The sequence below is a fragment of the Homo sapiens genome, chromosome 2, assembly GCF_000001405.40.
Source record: "Homo sapiens chromosome 2, GRCh38.p14 Primary Assembly".
Lineage (NCBI taxonomy): Eukaryota > Metazoa > Chordata > Mammalia > Primates > Hominidae > Homo > Homo sapiens.
This window is the reverse complement of record NC_000002.12, coordinates 161,088,241-161,111,441: the sequence shown is the minus strand read 5'-3', so window position 1 is coordinate 161,111,441 and position 23,201 is coordinate 161,088,241. Positions and strand designations below refer to the sequence as shown.

The 23,201-nt window shown below is 37.7% G+C and overlaps 1 long non-coding RNA gene across 1 annotated transcript in view, besides 2 other annotated features; it reads left to right on the top strand.

The window, feature by feature from the left end:
* Positions 1–15,350, top strand: part of TANK-AS1 (TANK antisense RNA 1) — a 64,199-nt gene extending 48,849 nt beyond the window's left edge. Inside the window, exon 3 of the long non-coding RNA NR_187173.1 lies at positions 14,874–15,350. This is a non-coding gene — a long non-coding RNA (TANK antisense RNA 1). The remainder of the gene's footprint in view (positions 1–14,873) is intronic.
* Positions 6,908–6,977: a silencer, noted in NCBI's record as "silent region_12050". NCBI's record gives its function as "represses an Ori minimal core promoter by ATAC-STARR-seq in GM12878 lymphoblastoid cells {active_cell/tissue: GM12878}" and the evidence as "EXISTENCE:reporter gene assay evidence [ECO:0000049][PMID:35858748]".
* Positions 20,516–20,645: an enhancer, noted in NCBI's record as "active region_16702". NCBI's record gives its function as "activates an Ori minimal core promoter by ATAC-STARR-seq in GM12878 lymphoblastoid cells {active_cell/tissue: GM12878}" and the evidence as "EXISTENCE:reporter gene assay evidence [ECO:0000049][PMID:35858748]".

Sequence of the window (23,201 nt, the reverse complement as noted above, 5' to 3'; positions counted from 1 at the left end):
CTGTTGAAATAGCTTGCATTAAAAGGAAGATGATTAAATCACATTCAAAATGGAATTGGCTTGGCCAGAGGTGATTGTAAGCAGAAAGCAAGCAGGTGGAGGCTACCGGGCCCGAGACTGTCAATGTGTTAGGTCTATGAATCAGGCTTTTAGAAACTTTTCCTATCCCTGCTGTAACACCTTCACCTTCCAGATCTAACCCTCCATCAGTTTTCTGTCTCTTGGCAGCTAGTGCCTGCCTTATTGAGCCTTTCTGATTTCCCTCTGTCAAACTGTAAATGACTAGTATATCTCTGGTCAGTAGTTAATGCTACTCTGCTAGTTTAGTCTATAGTGTTGATGCTAGACCTCCCAGATAAACATTTTTAGTATAGATGAGGCTGTCAAATTGTTTTCTTTCCATTTTAGTTCATGAACACCAAAAAAGAGGACATTTTTAGAAGAAAGGAAAGGAAAGGAACTTAGAATTAATCTATTAGCCTGCATCAAATCCTGGCACATTGGGTAACTGTTCAGTCCAACTGTGTCAGTTGTTCCTACTGGGAAGACCTCAATGCATTTACAAATGCATAGAAGTAATAATTTAAAAATTGTCTGGATAAGGTGATCTTGGCAAATTCAACCCAAACACAGAAGGCTTCTGCTTTTTCTTGTTATGTAGATCAGAGCTAGAATTTTAATAAATAATAAATAAGAGAGGTGGGAAAAAGAAAAAAAAATTACAGAAAATATCAATAATATCAAACATCTTCTAGGGCCCATCTGTTGCATAATCCATTAGCTGAGAAATTGCAGAGAGCCCTAATAATAGTACCTGAGATTTAAATAGTACATTTCAAACAAAGAGCTTTGCCATCACTAATCTCATCTGTTCTCACGACATCCTTTTAGGGTGAGCGCCTGGGATAGGTATTATTATCTATGTTTTACAAATAGAAACACCATGATACAGAATTTAGTGATTTAAGCGAGGTTATACACTGTTAGCCAGGGGAAATATAAGATGTATACCAAGTGCTATAACTATAGCACATCATTATAGCAGCTACATTATTCAGCTCTATGCAGACATGGTCCCAGATGTAATTTAATGACCTAAACAGCACTGTCCATAAGGTACTTGTGGGAAAAGATTAGATCCTCTTTTTAAGGGAATGCTGGTTGCATATATGATAATATATGTTCTTTATAAATGCATAACAAATGTCCTTTGCCTGGATGAAACACTTAAAAGTCCTTTCCCCAGCATGCATTTGTCCTTCCCCCCCCAACCCCCCGCAGATGGAGTCTCACTCTGTTGCCCAGGCTGGAGTGCAGTGGCCTGATGCCAGCTCACTGCAACCTCCGCCTCCGGGTTCAAGTAATTCTCCTGCCTCAGCCTGCCAAATAGCTGGAACTACAGGCATGTGCCACCACATCTGGCTAATTTTTGTATTTTTTAGTAGAGATGTGAGTTTCACCATGTTGGCCAGGCTGGTCTTGAACTCCTGATCTCATGATCTGCCTGCCAAGGCCTCCCAAAGTGCTGGGATTACAGGCGTGAGCCACTGCACCTGGCCGCATTTGTCCTTTTGATTGAAATATATGTTTATCACAGTCAGTGTCAATCATAAATATATGTGTGTGTGTGCGCGCGTGTGTGTGTATTTGTATATATATGTATGTGTGTGTGTGTGCATGTGTGTGAGGAGATATGTATGTGTTTATGTGTGAAACTTTTTGATATGCTGGCCAAATCTGAGGCTGAGCTACTGTCATTAGAACAAATTTAGATAAAAAGCAGCAGGAAATCTGGTCAGAGACAAATATGTAACAAAGTTCTGTCAGTCTCAGATGCACTCCAGCAGGTTTCCTTAGAGTTTGTAGTTGGGTGTTATCTTCCACTAATGGAAATATTCCTAGTTGGGGGTCCAAATAGAATTGGCTGTGGGTAAGACCATGGTGTTCCGCAAGAAAAATCACAGGGAGAACAGTGGGTCTTTTCATATTTGAGAAACGTTTAGCATGTCAGAAAAGAAGGGCAAATATCACATTTTAAAGTATTTTCTAGATTTCTCAGTTTTGCTTATCGTTATAACCTTGGAAACAAGTATTTAATAGAATTAGTTCATTCAGTCGACAAATATCAATTAAGCTCTTACTATGTGTGAGATCTTTATCTGGGAGCTGGGGACAGATCATTTAACAAGACATCCTAGGTCCCTGTCTGCATTGAACCGATATTCAAGGGGAGAGAGAGATAATAAGCAAGAAAAGAATGGGACTACAGAAAATAAACACATAAAAAAAAGAAGATAATTAGGGATTTTTAAAAAATCTCTTAAGGAAATAGGGTTAGGGAGGAGAGAGAGAGAGAGGAACTGAAAAAGGTCCTTTTGGACAAGGTGATTAGAGAAGACTTTTGAGAGGGTGACTTTGAAGCTGGGGCCTAAAGTTGTTGATAAAATGATATTTGTGATATTTATGTGTTTCTTAATCTGTACTGGGTCTCACATGCTGCAAAAGTAGAACAATATTTAATTATTAATTCCTTTGGAATAAAGCTTGCTATTCAACACACACCTTGGTTCTTATAGAGCCATGGTTCTCAAACTTTCTAGTCTCAGGATACCTTTACACTCTTAACAGTTGTTTATGTGGATTATATTAAGATATACTGTATTTGAAATTAGAGACATTTTAACATATTAATTTATTGAAAAATGTGATGTTTTATTACTGTTAACATAAGCAACATAACTATATATTTACATATTATAGATTTATATTTAATTATTTTTTAAAACAGAACCAACTAGTGAGGAGAGTGACATTGTTTTACACTTTTGCAAATCTCTTTACTGTCTGGCTTAATAGGAGACAGCTGGATTTGGATGTCTGCTCCTGCATTCAATCTGTCATGAAACGTTGTTTTGGTTGAAGTGTATATTTTTAAAAAATCCATCCTCACACAGCTATATAGTTGGAAAAGGGAGGATCTCATGTTCCTCTGGGAACCCACTGTCATAGAGTAGCTTTTAACTCAGTGTATGTAAAGCAATTCCAGGACAAGTGAAAAATCTCCATGGGAAGCCAGATATCTGGTGATCCTAATCATCTTCACATTTATTACTTTTCAGCGGTTTACCTCCCTGTTGTTATGGGCATGCATCAGGTTAAACTCACGTAGTAATAAAACTCAAATTTGACTTCCAGCAGCTTGTTCCTTTTTGAGCAATTTGCAAAGTGACTTTTAAATCTCTGAACATAGAAAATGTAGCAGGTGGTAGGAATTTACACACTATGACTCCTATTTTCACTTTATTTTCTACGACCAATGTCATTGTACTCTGGAGACTTCATTCCCACTGATGGCAGTATGCACTGGCTATGACGCACACCCTCACCTCTGCAGGTTCAAACAGTCTCTTTTCAGTAATTACTCAGTTTTCCAGGGTCTCTTCTCAGAGGCAAGTTTATGGGAATCTTATACTTCAGGGCCCCTCATTTGCCCAGGACCCTTTCAAGGCCTGGGAGGGACCCCAGCAATTTTCTATTTATAATTTTGTATTCTTTTTCCTAAAGAGGGTTCTATAAATTGTATAAACTTCAGGCAAAGCAAAACCTGGATTCTCCCCCTTTCCCCTTCTCTGTGTCTTCCTTTCCCCCTCCTTCTCAAGGTGGCAGCTAGAGGTGAGAGGGGATACTAACTAGCCTTTTGGCAATGGGAGAGGGATGTCTGCTCTTGTGAGGGATGCCTGGGTTCTTGCTGAATGAGCTTCTGAAGTGCCCTTGGTCCTGGGAACTATGATGGAAACTATTCTTGTTTCCTAGCTTGGCCCTCGCTTTAGTAGTTGCAGTGAGATAAATCTTCTGGGGTCTGGCTGTGATCCCTGACTTAGCTTTTGCTTTGTGGTCCTCTGCTGAAGAGTTATGTCATCCATGATCTTGGTAAACCTCTTATGAGCTTCACAGTCAACACCCTGAGCTATCTTCTGTGACTACCCAAGTAGTCACAATGATATCTCATTGTGCTTTTGATTTGCATTTCTCTGTTGAGTAGTAATGTTGAACATCTTTCCATATGCTTGTTAGCTATTTGTATGTCTTCTTTGGAGTAATTTCTATTCAAATTCTTTGACTGTTTTTCTTTTCTTCTTTTGCTGACATCTCCTGCCACCTTGTGAAAAAGTCTTCCTTTCTTGGGTCAGGAAATTCCTATAGCTAATAGTCTTATCTCTCCTGCACCGTAGTTCCTTGTAAAGCTCTCTGCTTCAGTTTTCTCTACCTAGTTCATGAAAAGTAAAGTTTCGCTTCACAAGTAAAGCCTGGAATTTGCAAATCAAAATAACTTGTTTAGACTATTGTCCTACTAACTCAAAAGGTGATTAATTCCCTAGTTTAGGATTTATTATATAGAGAGATTCTCCCAAAGCAGTATATGAATCCACTCAATCCTGCTCTCCACTCCAACCCCACTTAACTTCCATTTTTCTTGCTGCAGTTCTAGTTTAAGCCCTGATCATTTTTCATGTGAACTCTCTCAATAGGCTTCTGTTTTGTTTCCCCATGTCTGATCTTGATCCTTTCAAGCTATCTTGTTCCTTATTGCTAGAGTGCTGCTATTTACAAAATATGATTTTGATAGTTACTCAACGCTTAAAACTTTTCAATGGCTCCTGTGGCCTACAATAAAAAGTCCAGATTTCTTAGTGCAGTGTATAAGGCTAATTATCATATGAGTTTTGACTACTAGCTTGTGTCTCTACCATACTCTGAATACCTTTTTTTCCTCATAGTACTTAAGCCTTCTTCCTCCTCTCATAGTCAGCCTCTTGAGGGAAGGGCTCTGTAACATCTTCGCATCCTTTTATCTCACATAGTTTCCGACACAAGATAGGTACATGATAAATATTTGCTAAATTAATAAAGGTAAATAATTATGCCTAATTGTTCATTTTATTATTTTGAACTTTATTATATTGGCTTTTCCTTAAGCTGGAATATATATGTATATAATTAAATTAGGTTTTCCTGAAGCCACATATATATGGCTTTAGAAAGTATATAGGATAATATAGGATATGTATGTGTATCTATATATGGACACACATTAATATCCTATCATATTATCCTATATATTTTTATCCTATATTATTTTATATATTATATTATCCTATATATTTTCTAAGGCCATATATATATGTGACTTTAGGAAAAGCAAATTTATTATATACATATATATTTCAGCTTACGCATATATATGTCCTATTAAGACATATAAGTACAGGGATACATAATATTTTGGGTCAAATTCCATCATCCTTAAAATCTACATTGATAAACTAATAAAATTTAGAGACTGAAAAGAAATGAAATTATGCGATTCATGCCCCAAAAAGATTTACAATCTGCTAATGATGTCATAGCAGAGTTTTAATAAAATGTCCTAAATAAGCAAGGAATTACGCAGGAAGAGGGAGTCATTCCACTTTTAATTTTATCCTTCTATATTTTAATGGAAAAGGCACTGTTGTTTTCACTGTCCATTTCTTCTTGTTTCAGACTCATGGTTCAGGGGTTTACTTATTTAAGGCATGAAGATCTTCCTGATATTTAAGAGATATTCTTCCTCATTTTACCATGATTTAACTTTGCATGCTGAACCAAATATGGCAGAATCAAATAATGCATTTTGCACTATGTTTTCAAAGTTATTATTATTATTATTATTATTTTACTGAGTAGAATACCTATTTTGAACCTCTCGGTTCCATCCCCTATCATGATTGACTGTCAGGAAGCACCGTGGGGGCTGATGTTCAGAAAGCCCTTTCAGCTACATTTCATATGTTCCTTCTCAAAATATTCCTGTGCCTCAGTGTTCCTTAGCCAATATTTATGTGGCAGGGAAATGTGTCTTATCTCTTTTGTGTAGATGATTAAAGTGCTGCACAACCATAAGGTGGTTTCATTCTGCTGTTTTCTACCCTACACCTGTGACTTTGATAGGGAGCTGTTGATGGGCCTGGGAATAGCTTGCAGATGTGTATGTACCAGCAGTATGTTAGGATTCAGTCTGAAAACTAGCAAGTCTGCAGCCTTGGCATCCAGGGCTAGATGTTTCTCACATTTTTCTTTCCTACATTTCTTCCTGTTCAGCCCCTGGTTTTCCAGAATCGTGGTTAGGTTTATATTGGTTAAGGTTTCTGTTTGTTTGTTTCTTAAAGCTTCCTCTTGTAGTTTAAAATCCTGAAGATCCTCAGAGCTTGAGCCTTGACCTTAGGTTTGGAGAATGTGGGGTCTGTGCAGCTGTGATCCTACTTGAATAAGTTTGGGCAAGTCATGGGACAGGAGTCTCTGTTTCTTCATTTGTTATATGGGTTTATTATCACCTGACAAAAGGGTTTCTTTAAAGTTTCCATGAGATTATTTGTGAGCGAGTGCTTTGAAAGGTGTAAACTGTTGTACAATTTTGACCTGGTATAATAATGATTTTTTTTTGAGACAGAGTCTTGCTCTGTCGCCCAGGCTGGAGTGCAGTGGCATGATCTTGACTCACTTCAACCTCTGCCTCCCGGGTGCAAGTGATTCTTCTGCCTCAGCCTCCCGAGTAGCTGGGATTACAGGTGTGTGCCACCATGACCAGCTAATTTTTGTATTTTTAGTAGAGATGGGGTTTCAGCATCTTGGCCAGGCTGGTCTTGAACTCCTGACCTCATGATCCACCCGTCTCGGCCTCCCAAAGTGCTGGGATTACAGGCATGAGCCACTGCGCCCGGCCCGATAATGATGTATTTTTTAACCTATGGCTATTAAATTCCTGTGGGCAATTATGTGGGATGAATCTTTGCTATATTATAATAACCAGTGATTTCAGCTAATGCAGCCAAACATCTGGTCAAATCCACTGTAAAGCTATTTCAACTGAATTGGTTAATAGACCTGTATATAGAGAGAGTCCAAAATAGCCTCAAAATTTAACTTTGCTTTTAATAAAGAAGCTTCCTGTTTGTCTCATTAATGGCACCTGTCTGACTCACTTCTGAGCCAGATGTTATACTTCATCGTTTCATAATGTGTCATTTCTGCACACCGACTTTCTTTTCATAGTTTCTGAAGCAAAATCTATTTCATCCCATCACCAGGATATTGTTGGTGACAGCTGCAACACCCGAATAGGTAGCTTTAGCTTTCACATGGACATAGATATGGAAAATGTTCTCAGAATCGAGCCAGCAGGGAATGAAACATATGGCAGGCAGTGAAAGAAGTGAAGGCTCGTTTCTATAACAAACCCCTCTGAGTTTTGACAAGGCTCTCTGATATACTGTCAAACCACCCCAGGGCTGAGAGGCAGGTAACTCTTCTCTATCTCTAGTCTGAGCACTAAGACTTGCCTGAGGAAAGAACTTTCTTACATTGTTATCTAAAAACTGTGAGTTCTTCATGATTAGATATAATAAATAGTTTGTAACCCCTAGCTGCTCATCAGATTCACCTGCATAGATACTTAGAACTCTCCCCAACCCCCTCCCCCTGCATCCTTCAATATTTTAATTCAGTAGGTCAGGGATGGGGCTCAGGCATTTTTTTTTATTTTTTTATTTTATTATTATTTTTAGTTCTTCTGGTGTTTCTGACGTGCAAAAAGCTAGCCAGAAATGTATTAGAGAATCTAATTATCAAATGGACGGTTGTTCTAGAAGATGGACTTTAAAGACCTCTGCCAAAGCTGAGTGTGTAAAAGTAGATGAAGATAAATCTTCACTTGCAGGGGTCAAAGTCTGCAATGCATACAGGAACTAATAGGTAAGGTGAATGTGAAGTGTGAAGCGGCTTATACAATATAAGTAGTGATGGGGATTGTGGCAAACTGGAGAATGAAACTCTGTTGAAAGGCACGCCAGCTAACAAAATGTCACTGTGGACAGATTTGGCCTTTGTTCTCCTCTTTTACTTGAGTATAAAGTCTTCATGCCTGGAGTTTTCTTCAGTTTCTCCTGTGTGAAATACTCAGTGTTATTTTCCTTTTGAGATTTTAAAAATAATGTTAAAACATTAAATGTAAGAGGGGTATCTTGTAGACTGCTTTTCACAAAGGTAGAGGAGAGGAATATGATTAAAATGGATCCATTTCTATTTCTCATTTTATCCCCCAGCTTACCCCATCTGACTACATGGATAGCAAGTTTGAGTTGGATGAGGCTAAGCAGGGCATAGTGAACCTGACATTCAGTTTTTCTCAATTTCTTCTGCTCCTGGATTCACTCCTAATCCTGTAGGACAGTGGTAAGAAAGACATCAATAAAATAAGAGAACTATAAATGAATAGGAAGCACTTCAAGAAGATTTGAAGAACTATTTTAAAGTTAGAAGTATTTTAGGGGCATCTGCTGAAAATGTTGCCTAACTGTGATATTTCTTTTTTTCACTCTGGGGCAATGAAATTTTATGAGTCACTAAATACATATTTTGACATCTGGCTTCACTGCTTTTTTTTTTTTTTTCTGGAATGCTGTAAATTCTCATCATGAGAGTTTACTTCTTGTCAGTCTTTTGATACTATACTCTCAATCATTTTCTGGGTGATTTACAGATGGTGGTACCTAATTGCCTTAGGCCTTAGTTTCCTGTTAATTCCCTAGGCTATGGTAAGGCATAAGGCAAGGAATGAAAATGTTAAACTTTATGTGAAGGCAGGCTTAAATTTTGACCTTCCCTAACTATGCAACTTTTATCTTTGTGCTTGTTTCATTTGTTAATGTAAATTCTTATATTTAGCATTATTTAGACATGATTTCATACAGATTTGAAGATTCTCTTGACTTAAAATTTTGTTCTGACACCTCTAGTCTTAACTACAGCTACCAGTTTTGGAACTCTGATCCATGTGAGATCCTGAGATGTTTTAATTTAGAGTTTGTTGATTTTATTTTGTAGAGAAATTAATTTTACATAGACATAAGGTAACAACTGCTCTTTTTTTATAAGTAAATTTTTAAAAATTTCAACTGAATATTTATGAGCATCAAAGAGAGTTTTAGTTTCCCTGTATGTCTATGCTGTTTGATACATGGAAAATGTGGATGAGCAATAGGTACTAGCCATTTTCATGTGTATGAAATAAAAATTTCTTCTATGATTGTGCATTTTAGGCTATTGGCTCAAGGGTAAGGAAGGGACTAGATTATAGTTCTAAGCTTCTGATCATAGTGTTTTTTTCCTCCCTATGGCTATATTGCCTGATTGTCTTCTGATTTTTATTTTTTATTGGGGTCCTGGTTCTGTATTTGTGAACTTATGTTTTGACTTATGAAGTTTTATATTAAGAGCTAGGTAATGAATAGAAAATGACTATCAATGATACCACATCAAAACTGGCTGCCTAGAGTATGTATAATTTTCTCTCTTATCTCCCTCTTCTCCAATTTTATGGATTCTTCTAGAGTATTTTAAGAGTTTCATTGAAACCTGATTACCATCATAGTGAGAAACGTCTATCAGTAACACTCACCATTAGGCAACCTTGTGGGAGGTATACAAGGAAATTTCTGGAGTGAGTTTGCAATTACATGTTCCAGGAAATTAAGGATAATATGAAGTCCAGCTCTTTAATAACCATCTTAATTAGTGAAAATGTGATGGAGAAAATGGATGGAATCCTGCATATGTATGTAAACTTTTAGAAAATTAGCCCTCATGCATACCTAACATCTCAGATGTCAACATTGAGTTCTAGCCTGTCGCATTAGTTCCTTAAATGGTACTGCCTAACCTTAGGTATTGCTGCCAGAGTGTGAAAGAATGTGTTTTGGGTAAGTTACTCTTTACATTTACCAGGAAAACTCCTTGGGGTGTCTAAAGGCACAGAGTTAATTGCTGAAGCAAACTACAGGAACTCTTAGGACCACAGCATTCTTAGGATGGCAGTGAGAATCTTGGAATGGGAGATCATCTTGAGTTGCCAACATTTCCCAGCAATTGGTTTCTAGTTGAGAACAAATAGGCATTTATTTTAGAATCTGTGGAGGCGCTTTCACTTTTTTTGTTTTGTTTTGTTTCCACTTCTGACATTGGAATTAGTGAGGAAGGTTTTGCCAGCAAAGGATAAGATCCTAACATGCTGGAATCCTAATTAATTGCTTCAGGAAAGATATTCAATCTACTTGCCTGAGGGTTAATGACCAGTTTTGTTTTCCTGACTTTCCTGAAGAGAACTGCTTCATATGCAGCCTGGATTTGGGCAGGGCGTAGAAGTTAAAAACAGGCCCAGCTTTGAGGGGCAATGCTTGAGTGACTCAAAGTAAGGTTGTTTTGTTTTTGTTTTTGTTTTCCCCCTCACAGGGTGCCTCTATGCTACTCACTGATTTTTGTTCTCCCAAATATCACATATATCAATCCTATAATATTTGATTAAAATATTAGAATAGTTTTGAATTTTATTGCCTCTTGCATCAGAGCATAGCTTACCCAGACAGCCACATCACAATGAGCACATTATTGATTATTCATGAAGACACCCTAGGCATTGTACTTATTAGCTCTTCTTTAAATTGAATAGGCCTACTCATGTAATTGAAAAGATTAATAGGAGCCGGGGCTGCAAGTGAAGAAATGGAAGGCCAACTTGCAAATCTGATTAAAATGTCTAGTATATTGAAATAGAGGAGATGTAAAATTAAGAAAGTTACAAGCAGGAAATGGCAAACACCAGCTGAGGCGATAGGGAATGCCATATGTTATATGTTCTTCATGCTTTTTTTTTTCCTCTTGCTTTTTTCAAGAAAGACTATATATAAAATACACACATTATATATATACATGCATACATTACCCTGGCACATGTATCATTAAGGATCTCCTTGGAAAGACAAGTTGATATATTTATTTTTTGGAAACAAAAATTCAAAGTTATTTTCTGCAACATCAGGTTTGCATTTATACCAGTAATCCCACGACTCTATTCATTGTTGAAGATTTAAAATTCTAGTCAGTTTACTTTTGGTTTTCCTGTTAGATTTTATCTGTCCAAGTTCTGAGCTCTGCTGTCTCTCTGTGTTTCTGTTGATGAGCATCCAAGGAATAGTTTTGAAGCCTGTTCCAATCTATTCTTCCCACAATATTTGTTTAACACAGGATAAACAACTGATCACAAAGGATAAACAATGATAGAATATTCTTAATCTTATTGTATTAGGGCCATGCAAATCTGGGAAGCATTTATTACGTGAAGGCAAATGCAAATTTTATGTTATTTCATAATGTGAAACTACTTTTGGATGTCAAAATGAATTATCCCATTTATATTCCCTGTTTAGATTTACTTTAAAAATTTGACATTTCCTTCTGAAATTCACTGTTCAAAACCTGTCTGCATATTTATGTTTTTTCATCATATACTGCTCTAAACAATAATCAATAAAGCATGCAATAAAAAGTCTAGAATTACTAGTTGTTAAGAAAATCAACAACTTTTGAAAAAGGAGCAGCTATTCATCCTATCAGCTCATCTACATCTCTCCAGGCCTTAGATGTCTTTGACCTCCCTAGTTTGCCTTCCAGATGGCAGTAGCAACTAAATGTCCTCTACATGTTCTGTATTCTGATTTCATAGAGCTCATTTAAAAGGAAACATCTCAGCCTTGATGAACAATTTATCATTGTTTAATAGATTTACAAAATTACATCAAGAATGCTCTCTGAGAGGAAGTCAAATTGTCTCTGTTTGCAGATGACATGATTGTATATTTAGAAAACCCTGTCGTCTCAGCCTCAAATCTCCTTAAGCTGATAAGCAACTTCAGCAAAGTCTCAGGATACAAAATCAATGTGCAAAAGTCACAAGCATTCCTATACACCAATAATAGAGAGCCAAATCATGAGTGAACACCCATTCACAGTTACTACAAAGAGAATAAAATACCTAAGATACAATTTACAGGGGATATGAAGGACCTCTTCAAGGAGAACTGCAAACCACTGCTCAAGGAAACCAGAGAGGACATAAACAAATGGAAAAACAGTCTATGCTTCATGGACAGGAAGAGTCAATATCGTGAAAATGGCCATACTGCCCAAAATAATTTATAGATTCAATGCTATCCCCATCAAGCTACCATTGACATTTTTCACAGAATTAGCAAAAACTACTTTAAATTTCATATGGAACCAAAAAAGAGCCCATATAGCCAAGACAATCCTAAGCAAAAAGAACAAAGCTGGAGGCATCATGCTACCTGACTTCAAACTATACTAAAAGGCTACAGTAACCAAAACAGCATGGTACTGGTACCAAAACAGATATATAGACCAGTGGAACAGAACAGAGGCCTCAGAAATAATGCCACACATGCACAACCATCTGATCTTTGACAAACCTGACAAAAGCAAATGGGGAAAGGATTCCCTATTTAATAAATGGTGTTGGGAAAACTGACTAGCCATATGCAGAAAACTGAAACTGGACTCCTTGCTTACACCTTATCCAAAAATTAACTCAAGATGGATTAAAGACTTAAATGTAACACCTAAAACCATAAAAACCCTTGAAGAAAACCTAGGCAGTACCATTCAGGACATAGGCATGAGCAAAGACTTCATGACTAAACCACCAAAAGCAATGGCAACAAAAGCCAAAATCGACAAATGGGATCTAATTAAACTAAAGAGTTTCTGCACAGCAAAAGAAACTATCATCAGAGTGAAGAGGCAACCTACAGAATGGGAGAAAATTTTTGCAACCTATCCATCTGACAAAGGGCTAATATGGAGAATCTACAAAGAACTTAAACAACTTTACAAGGAAAAAAACCACCAAAAAGTGGGCAAAGGATATGAACAGACACTTCTCAAAAGAAGACATTTATGTGGCCAAACATAGGAAAAAAAGCTAATCATTACTGGTCATTAGAGAAATGCAAATCAAAACCACAAAGAGATACCATCTCATACCAGTTAGATTGGAGATCATTAAAAAAATCAGGAAACAACAGATGCTGGAGAGGATGTGGAGCAATAGGGATGCTTTTACACTGTTGGTGGGAGTGTAAATTAGTTCAACCATTGTGGAAGACAGTGTGGTGATTCCTCAAGGATCTAGAACCAGAAATACCATTTGACCCAGCAATCCCATTACTGGGTATATACTCAAATGATTATAAATCATTCTATAAAGACATGTGCACATGTATGTTTATTGCAGGACTGTTCACAATAGCAAAGACTTGGAACCAACCCAAATGCCCATCAATGATAGACTGGATAAAGAAAATGTGGTACGTATGCACCATGGAATACTATGCAGCTATAAAAAAGGATGAGTTCATGTCCTTTGCAGGGACATGGATGATACTGGAAGCCATCATTCTCAGCAAACTAACACAGAAACAGAAAACCAAACATCACATGTTCTCACTCATAATTGGGAGTTGAACAATGAGAACGCGTGGACACAGGGAGGAGAACATCACACACCAGGGCCTGTCGGGGAGTGAGGGGCTAGGTGAGGGATAGCATTAGGAGAAATACCTAATGTAGGTGACGGGTTGATGGGTGCAGCAAACCACCATGGCACATGTATACCCATGTAACAAACCTGCACGTTCTGTACATGTATCCCAGAACTTAAAGTATAATGATAATTTTTAAAAAATGCTCTTCCTCTCCATGACAAAACAAATAGCAGTGATATTTTCATTTTAGAAAGGAGCACACCGCTTAAATGGCTGATTTGTTCCGTGGCTTAATTCTCTGCCGTTTTGCAGTCTTGGAACCGGTAGGGACAGTTGTCTTTTTGGTAGACAATAAAAGTTGGCTCTACTAAAACAAAGAAATATGCTTTATAACCATCAGATACTTCATTCTGGATGTGACATTATCTTCTGGAAGACCCATTTGTAGAAGGAAAGGTTGCCTAGTTGTCAAGAATTGGCAGTGACCTGGTATGTCAGTTTAAGCTACACATAGACTGCAACAAAAGCTCTTTGAATATTTACTTTTTTGTTTGTTTTGTTGTTGCTGTCGTTTTTTGAGACAGGGTTTCATTCTGCTATCCAGGCTGGAATGCAGTGGCGCTATCAGGGCTCACTGCAGCTTTGACCTCCTGGGCTTAAGCAATCCTCCCACCCCAGCCTCCTGAGTAGCTGGGTTTACAAGTGTGTGCCACCATGTCTGGCAATTTTTTTTTTTTTTTTTTTTGTAGAGACAGGGTCTCCCTTAAGTTGCCCAGGCTGATCTTGAACTTCTGGGCTGAAGTGATCCTACTGTGTAGGCCTCCCAAACTGCTGGGATTACAGGTGTGAGCCACCACATCTGGCTGAATTTTTACTTTTATTTTTAACAGGCAAATCTCACTATGTCACCTAGGCTGGAGTGCAGTGGCTACTCACAGGCCTTGAAGTCCTGGGCTCAAGCAATCCTCCCACCTCAGGCTCCTGAATAGCTGAGAACACTACATGTAGTCTTACATAGACCAGCATTACTGGTATGGATAAAAGCATTATAAAAATTATTAATTCAGAATGCCAAAAAGGTTTAGGGTCTGGGGATTATAAAGGGTTGGGGATTATATATATAAAAAAAGCTATGTCCAGAAAGACATTGATAATCTTTGGATTATTCTACAAATCCCTGAGTTACTACATGTTTCAGAAAAGTGCCTCCTCCACCTCCTCTTCCTCCTCTTTTTCTTAAACAAGTGAATTATCTACCTATGTTTTGATTGTCTATTGTATTTCATAAATGATAGTCTATGTCAGGAAAATGGAAGCTCAAAGTAAGGAAATGAAAGCTTTCTCTTTTTAAATTATAAGTAAAATAGTGGTTATAAATACAAAATCCCAGGGTAATTTGACTGACAAATGTAATCAGACCAAGCTCATTCTTTGTTTCAGTCTTCACAATGGGAGATGCAGAACAGCTGGCAGGAATCAATGTACTCTGTGTTTCTCATGGGAGAAAGAAAGAACACTGAAGGAAACAAGGACTGTGCCAGGAGAGGTGATTAAGCAATTAGAATATTTTGAAGTCTAAAATAACTGTAGTATCAGGAGAACAACTGAACGAGAAAATAAATTACTGAGAGTAAAGCAGTCTGTAGATTTTGGGAAGATTCGTAGGTGTGTGAGAAACAAGACATTTTGGAATCTTAATGTAATCTGAGAAGTAAAATAGACCTGTATTCCTGTCATTCTCTTTCTCATTTTCTTCCTCCTCACCAAATCATGATGTTGAAGGTCAGTGAGAAGAGTCAATTCGGGCTGTTTCTCACGAAGGTGTACACCAGTCATCCGGAATGTCAGTATCCCTTATTCAGAGTGATTTTGATAAATGTGCTTAAATAAATAAACACTCTCATTTCAACTAAATAATTTGGTGGGAATCATAGGTAAAATGCCATAGTATGAACTAAGTCATATCACTGGTCCCCTGAAAAAGTGAAGGTGGAGTTTTTGTGCTTGTAAATACTGAAAAATGATGTTTCTATATTACTTATTTTTATAATGCTATTTTCATTCTGTGTGATGTTCAGGTTCTGAATATCACAGGGGTGGAAAGATAGACAAAAAGACAGGTAAGAAAAGGGAAAGATAGGAAAAGCATTTAAACATTTTGTAGCATTTCCAGAGTACTGGTGCCTATTTTTTTTTTTTTTTTAAACTTGCTTTAATTGATTTCTCTCTGTGCTTCTCAACAGAGCTTTCCTTAAGAGTGAGGTGTTATATTTATGGTAGGATTAACATGTTATTGGGAGAGTTCTGTTTCTTCCAAGATATTTTAGTTTCTCACTCTTTTAGTTTCTATAGTTTAACCATTCAGAATTGATTTCTTCAGGTCTTCAAAAATGGCCCAGTGAAATGTAAATATACCAGGAAAGTTAATACTTTGAGCTTCCGTTGGCTGAAACCAGGGTGGGGGTAGGCTCACTTCAGTAAGATAAACCCTGAATGTAATATAGGCTAAATGTGAGGATGGGAGGACAGTCGTGTTCCCAGAGGACAGCTCAGCAGTAAGGTGAGAAACTTTTGTGGAGCCAGGGAGTGCTGTAACTTGCTAGGAGAACTAGTTAGCAGCTGATTACAGCTTCCATTCTTAAGTTGAACAGATGAGTTACTTAAAATGGTTGCGTTGGGGGGCAGGTTGAAGAATTTTGTGTCGTTCATCATCTTACTGAGAGTCATAAATAAACAGGCTTACATTCTATTTTAAAACAAAGAAAACAGAGGGCTCTGACAGAAGTACACTGTAATTGTGACCATGTGTGAAACCCAAATATAGGCCATAACAATATTTCTACCTGTCCCTGCAGGAACTAAGACATTTGGTGAACTACTTTCTAAAATTTCAAATAAATTATAAAAATTCAGCAAATATAAGAAAACAAAAAAAAGTTACATGGAGTCTTATCTTCCAAAGATAACTGCTGATAACATTTTAGAGTATTTATTTCCAGTCTTTAAAAAAATTAATAATGTTTCAACTTACCTGGTTATGAAAGAAATAGATGATCACTGCACAAAGTTTAGGTAATTCAGAAAGTGTAGAGGAAACAGTCTTTACAAACCGTATTAACTTAGAGATAGCCACAGTATTTCCTTCCTGCATTAAAAAAAAAAAAATCTGTCCAAATGAGATGTGACAGACTACTGGTTGTCCCCAAAATTCATTCTGCTTTTCTTCCTGGACACATGGCAATTCAACTGAAAACTAAATTTCCCAGGTTCCCTTGAGGTTTGCTGTGGTTACGTGACAAAGTTCTCACCAATGAAACATAAACAGAAGTCATGTGTACAATTTCTGCCCATTTTCTGTAAGGTGATTGTCCTGGCCTGTTCCTCTGTTTCCTTCCCACCCACAGGGCCTGATTCTTTGGACGGGAGCAGGAGTTCCAGGCTGATCACAGGGGTAAGGTATGATAGCACATACCCTTACCCCAGTCTGGGATTTGCCTATATTTTTCATCTTAGAGAACCCATGTACCTTTTGGGGACTTCCAAAGGGATACTCAAGCAGAAGGAAGTTCGAGTTTGTAACCTTTTAGTTAACAGCTAATGATACAATGATCCCTTGGATTTAGTGGCCTTCCTTACAAACAAGCCAATGGGACCTAGGGGAAATTTGAATTTGTATGTTGGTATTTTTAATATTCTATACATTTATAAATACTCTGTAAATATTTAAATAAATACCATACATTTATTTTGGCACATATTCCTATATCATTAACTGTTCTTTGAAAACATGATCTTCAATAGTTGTATAATTACATGGATAAATTATTTTTTATTGGACATTTAAATTGTTTTCAGTTTTTATTAGAATTGATATATGTATGTATATATTACTTTGACTTACTAATTTTGTACTTTGGATAAAATGCTGAAAGTAAAATTAATGGGTCATAGGTCGTGTACATTTTAAAGACTGTTGGCATATTTTGGGCTTAATAAACTGTCACCATAACTGTGAGGTACCAGGGATGTATCTGTAAGTCTCTTTCCCAAAGACAAATTACACATATGACAGCAATGGAAGGAATCACAGAATGCTTACAAAAGGATCATGAAAAGTCCCTCATTATCAAGAAATTATGCTGGTTAACTCTCTAATGATTCTGTTAGAGAATAGAGAGAAAGTTGATTTTTAGTGCATTGAATAAGTCAAGAAATTTGAGATTGGATATTACCGTGCATCTTGGTGTTATTATTATTTTTTTAGAGATGGAGGTGTCACTGTGTTTCCCAGGCTGGAATGCAGTGGTGCAATCATAGCTCATTGCACTCTAGAACTAACTCCTGGGCTCAACCGATCCCCCTGCCTTAGCTCCCCAGTGACTGGGACTACAGATGTGAACCACCACACCCAGGTATCTTGGCTTAAATAATGTGAGACCTCTGCAATCTCCTGATTTCTGCTTCAGAGAAGGTGACTAAAGGGGATGGAATCTTTCTCCATTTGAAGCAGTTTCCCACTTGCTACCTTAAAGCTTGCTGTATCCTGGGAGCAAATGCTTCCTCAAGTAGGAAGAGTAAACCAAGAACGTCAGTCCAGAAGATCATAGACAGCAAAGAATCTCATCTTTGACAGAGGTCTGGAACTTAATGAGGTTTCATTGGAATACTGCTTAGCACTATCTGTGTTGGGAAATTAAGGCAGAATAGAAGCATTTAGCTTAAAACTTCTGTTTCACTGTGATGACAAAACTGAAGTAAAACAGCTCAGTATGGGGGAGGCAATCCTGGTTCGTTGTGATAGCTCCTAACAACATTAGTGACTCTTGAAGGCTTAAATTTCACATACAAAATCTATAGTATGGAGAAGCCATTACTGCCTCCATCACATAAATGTGCTACTTGCTCCAATTCTGAATTTTTTTTCATAGCACTTTCATTTAAAATAGTTAAAAACTGGAATGAAGCCAAATGTTCATCAGCAGGTGAATGAGTAAACATATGGTGGTATATTCATACAAAGGAATACTACTCAGCAATAAAAATAGGAACATATTTCTGTTATGTGCAATATCATGTCTTAAATTTTATACAAATGAAATAATACAAGGTGTACTCTGGTTTCTTTTGCTCAGCATAATGATTTTGAGCCCCATCCAGCTAGAGTCCATTTGCAATAGTTCACACCAGCTGATTGCACATATCTCTTTCCAACTCTGCATTTAGTGACATCACAGTAGCAGTTTGAAATAAAGCATGATGGGAGTATTTGTATCATGGAAATTGGCAAATGCTACATAAACCTGGACTTTAATAAAATTACTGTGAACATTTTTGCACAAAAACAGCTATGGACGTTCTTGCAGAAGTCTTTTTTTGTGGACATGTATTTTCATTTTGCTTGGGCAAATACTTAGGAGAGGAATTACTGGGCCATAATGTAGATATATATTTTACTTGACAAAAAAACTATACCTCATTTTTGAGGCATTAGGTATTCAAACTGGAAAAAGAAATGTGGAACCAGGATGTCCAGCATCCTTTCCTTAGACTCTTGTTTCAATGCTACTAGTATCCCACTCCACCACCACTCCTCCAGATTAGAAGAGAGAAACTCATGTGCTATGGTCTGAATGTTTATGTCCCTTCAAAATTTATACATTGAAACCTAATCCCCAAGTGACAATATTAAGAGGTGGGACCTTTGGGAAGTGATCAGGTCCTAAGGATACAGCCCTCATAATAGGATTAGTGGCCTTATAAAAGGGGCCCCAGAGAATTGCCTTGCTCTTCCTCCATGTGAGGATGAATCAAGAAGGTGCCATCTTTGAGGAACAGCCCTCACCAGACACTGAACCTGTTGGTGCCTTAATCTTGGGCTTCCATCCTCCAGGACTGGGAGGAATAAATATTTGTTGTTTATAAGCCACCTAGTATTTTGTTACAGCATCCTGAACAGACTATGACACTATGACAGCTTGTGCATTTAATCATTAGTTAATTAGTTCATTCAACAATACTTATTGAACATCTACTATGTGCCAGGCACTGTGGTATGCACAGGAAATACAGTGGTAAATAGCACAAGTAAGCACAACTTACAGTCTCGTGAATATCCAGCCTCTTTTGGACCTCTTCATTTCTGCCACATTTTTCATATGTAGAAGGGACAATTATAGAGCCACTCTCTTAGTCACCAGGATGGAGAGTTTCATGGAGAGTGACACCTTGGTTCCACATTTCTTTTTTGTTTGAATACCTAATGCCTCAAAAGTGATGTATAATTTCTTGTCAATCCGACCACAAAATCCAGGCAGATTTGAGGCTTGTCATGAATGATAAGTTGAACTTGTTTAAGGTCACTTTTGCTTTGTTTTACTATCTAACCAGAGAATAGAGGTGTGCCTGAAGCTTGGGGGTGTCACCGTCTGGGCAGAGTAAGGACCCCACAAGGTCAAAGTAGCCCAGAGCTGTGAATTATCTGTCCTAACGTCAGATAGCATTGAGGGATGGCCTTATGGCAGCCTTTAAGGCTTCACTCTATTGTCATAGAAAACTGAGTCTTGTTCTGCCACAGTTATCTACTTCTGTGTTTTTTGTTTGTTTGTTTGTTTGTTTTTACTGTGTCACTGAGCCCACCAAAATTTTTAGTGCCGGAGACCCCGTATGCTCATGTTGAATTTGCCAACATAATGACAGTATTTGTTCTTTCCAACACTCACCATCTGGGAAGGAGAGAGCTTAGTGAGTGTTATGTCCTCTCTCTGGGCAGAGGTAAATAAATGATAAGAAAATATCCCCCAAATAATTATGCTGCTGTTGGAAAATGATCATCTCCATTTTAAAGACAAAGAAACTGAGGCTGGGACTTATATGTGCTATGTAACTAATAGGATTTGAACTATGTGGTTCCAAAGTTGTACATCTTCCTGAGTCCTTGGTAGATAAATTATGGAGATCTAAGGTGATTGGGAGAGCTCTCTGTCTCCTGGGGTACCCCATGGCTAAATGTCAAGTGTTTGCCCCTTTGGAGTTCTTGTAATGTTGGACTAAAATGACTAGAGGTGGAGTTGGCTCCCAAACGTTTTGACCTCATCAAAGGGCCATTTGCTAAAGGCTAGCCTATCTCTTCCTTATTTTAGTTCTGTCAAGAAAACAGAGGCAAAATTGACTTGCCTACTTTACAATGTTGCTGTGGCTGGCCCTTGTTATAGATTGCCAGTACAGATCCTAACTTGTGGGGATATCAATTTATAAATGGGTAATTAGACATCCTGCCTGAGTTCTCTTCTTGAGGAAGTTCCATGTGGATGCCTGTGTTTGAAAAGCGGGGATCCGCGGGTAGCGTGTTTGGTGTGGAGGAAGCTGTCTTGGTATGCAAGCTCTGCTTAGAGGCACCACTCACCGAGCCAGCATTTCCTGGCAATGTGTTGTTGGGTGAAAAAGCTGTATAGTTTCTTTTTTATTTTTTTCTCTTTCCTTAAAGCTTTATCTATATTCACACACCAGCTAGAGGGAAGAAAAAACCCTCAAGAGCTGAGTTCAAACACCTGCAGTTATTTTGAAGACAAATGATTGAATGAACTTAACATTTCCCCCCAGCAACAAGTGCTGGTGTGAAGATGAAACCTGGGAGAAGAGCAGCAAGTTCAAGAACCATAAAGTAAAGCAGAAAAAAACCTACTTTGGGTAGTTGTAATTACTCAGTTCAGGTTGTTATTGTATACAGCTTTAAACATTTAATATCTTGCTTTATAACCTTATAAATAAACAAGGACCCACATAAGGCTTTGGGCCAGTTTGAACCTCAAATATGAAATATGTCAATCTACACATATAATACATAACTATGAGAAAATGCCTTTTCTTGCTCTTCAACATTTTCTGTGTAGAGTCAGCTGAACATAAAAACACAGGGGATGGATTCACCACATTTATTTCCATTGCACAGAAAGTATCTTGCTTGTTTACTTAGTAGGTCTGCAGCAATTGCACATGTTCTTACCTCATTTCTTCCTTGGTAATTAGCATATTTTTTCTTAGAGGAGCATATGGCATCCTCACTTGTAAACAAACCCTGCAAACCTCTTTCCATGTTGTTGAGATCTGAACTGAGCTGTAATTTTATCAAGTCATAATCATGGAAGCTCATGGATTCCCTAAGATAATAAAATTCAGCACACAGGCATAATAGGTAAATTGTCAGGAACTGGACCAATGTGGTCTTATATTGCTAGATGATTCAGGATATATACAGTATACAGAACTAAGGGATGAAGTGAGAAGACCCAATTGCAGCAACTTTAGCCTGTAAACAAAGCTAGAGAATGAAAGACCAGACAGAAATAGAAAGCTGCTGAGTTTGAGTTACCAATCTGGGTTCAGTGACTCTCTGAGAAAACTGAAGTTGTTCTTTAAACAAAATAGATTTTTTTACTAAGATTCCTATTGTCTGAGATAGGAATAAAACATGATTTTCAACTACCTGTTTTGTCATAATGTAGTAGAAAAGGGGTGATTATATATGGTCACATTTTGGAGTCTGTTGTCTGAAATTGCACATGGAAATTTTGCTTGACAATCATTGTATTCAATATGCTTATCACAATTGCAGCACACAAATAACATTTATCTTCTTCCTAAATATGTAGGTGTAGCTGTAGTCATTCTAACTTTAAAAACAACCCGCAACATTTAAGAAATTCTGGCTTTGAATTTGGGAGGCCAGTTGTGCCGAAATCATACTGAATGTTTATAAATTGGTCATGAAAAAAATCCTAACAAGACAATTCAAGTGTGTTATTTTTCAATTGTGACACCTATCTACACCCAAGGAGAAAGGTGTAGGTGACTAAGTGGGGAGGTTAGAGTGGGTGCTTGCCTTTTTGCCCAGGAAATCATTTTAGCATTTTGAAACTGTTTTTATGGCACCTTGTGTAAGATATATAAAACAGAAAGTGTTAATTATACATATTAAAGAATAGGGGAAGGAGAGGAGCTAAAAACTGAGGGAGTTCTAGAGATTCTTCCCATTCCCCCCACCTCATAGCCATGCCTTGATGCTGCCAGGCCCTAGACTTTCCTAAATGCCTTGTAAAACCAAAACTACTCAGAAGATTCACATCAACGTACATGCATCAACCTTAGCTGACTTTAGTGTTTCAGAGGGAAGTGAGAGTTTTGGGGCCTCTGGGAATTCTGAGCTAAGTGGTTTGACAGTAGACTGAGAAAAAACAAGAGATGTTATGAGGTGCATCAGAACCCTTGGGGTAGCCTCAGGACTGTCAAGCAGGGAGTTGCGGATTCAGGTTGGGATATGACAAACACCATGCCTGATAGCCTAGGAAGAAAGTGAGAGCCAAAAGAGTTAGGTGTCTCTGGGGGGAGTCATTTCGTCAATGGTTTCTATAAGTTCTGGCTCTATATTGGTCAGATAAACACAATGAGCCCCAGTGTTGGTCAAATAAGCACAATAAGCCCAAAGGTATATTACCTGAGTTAAATCTTACATCGGTGAATCTCAGTCTTGGCTATATATTGGAATCTCCTGGGGAGCGTTAAAAAATACTGATGCCTGGTTCCTATGCTTAGAAATACTGATTTAATTGGTTAGGAATGCTGCGTAGGCTTTGGGAGTTTTAAAAGCTCTCCAGGTGATTCTAATGGACAGCCAAGGCTGTGAACCACTGCGTATGACCTAAATTGAGTCTGTTTGGGTAAATATGTTGCAATTCACCTTCTCTAAAATAGTAAAAATACTTGGTTTTAACC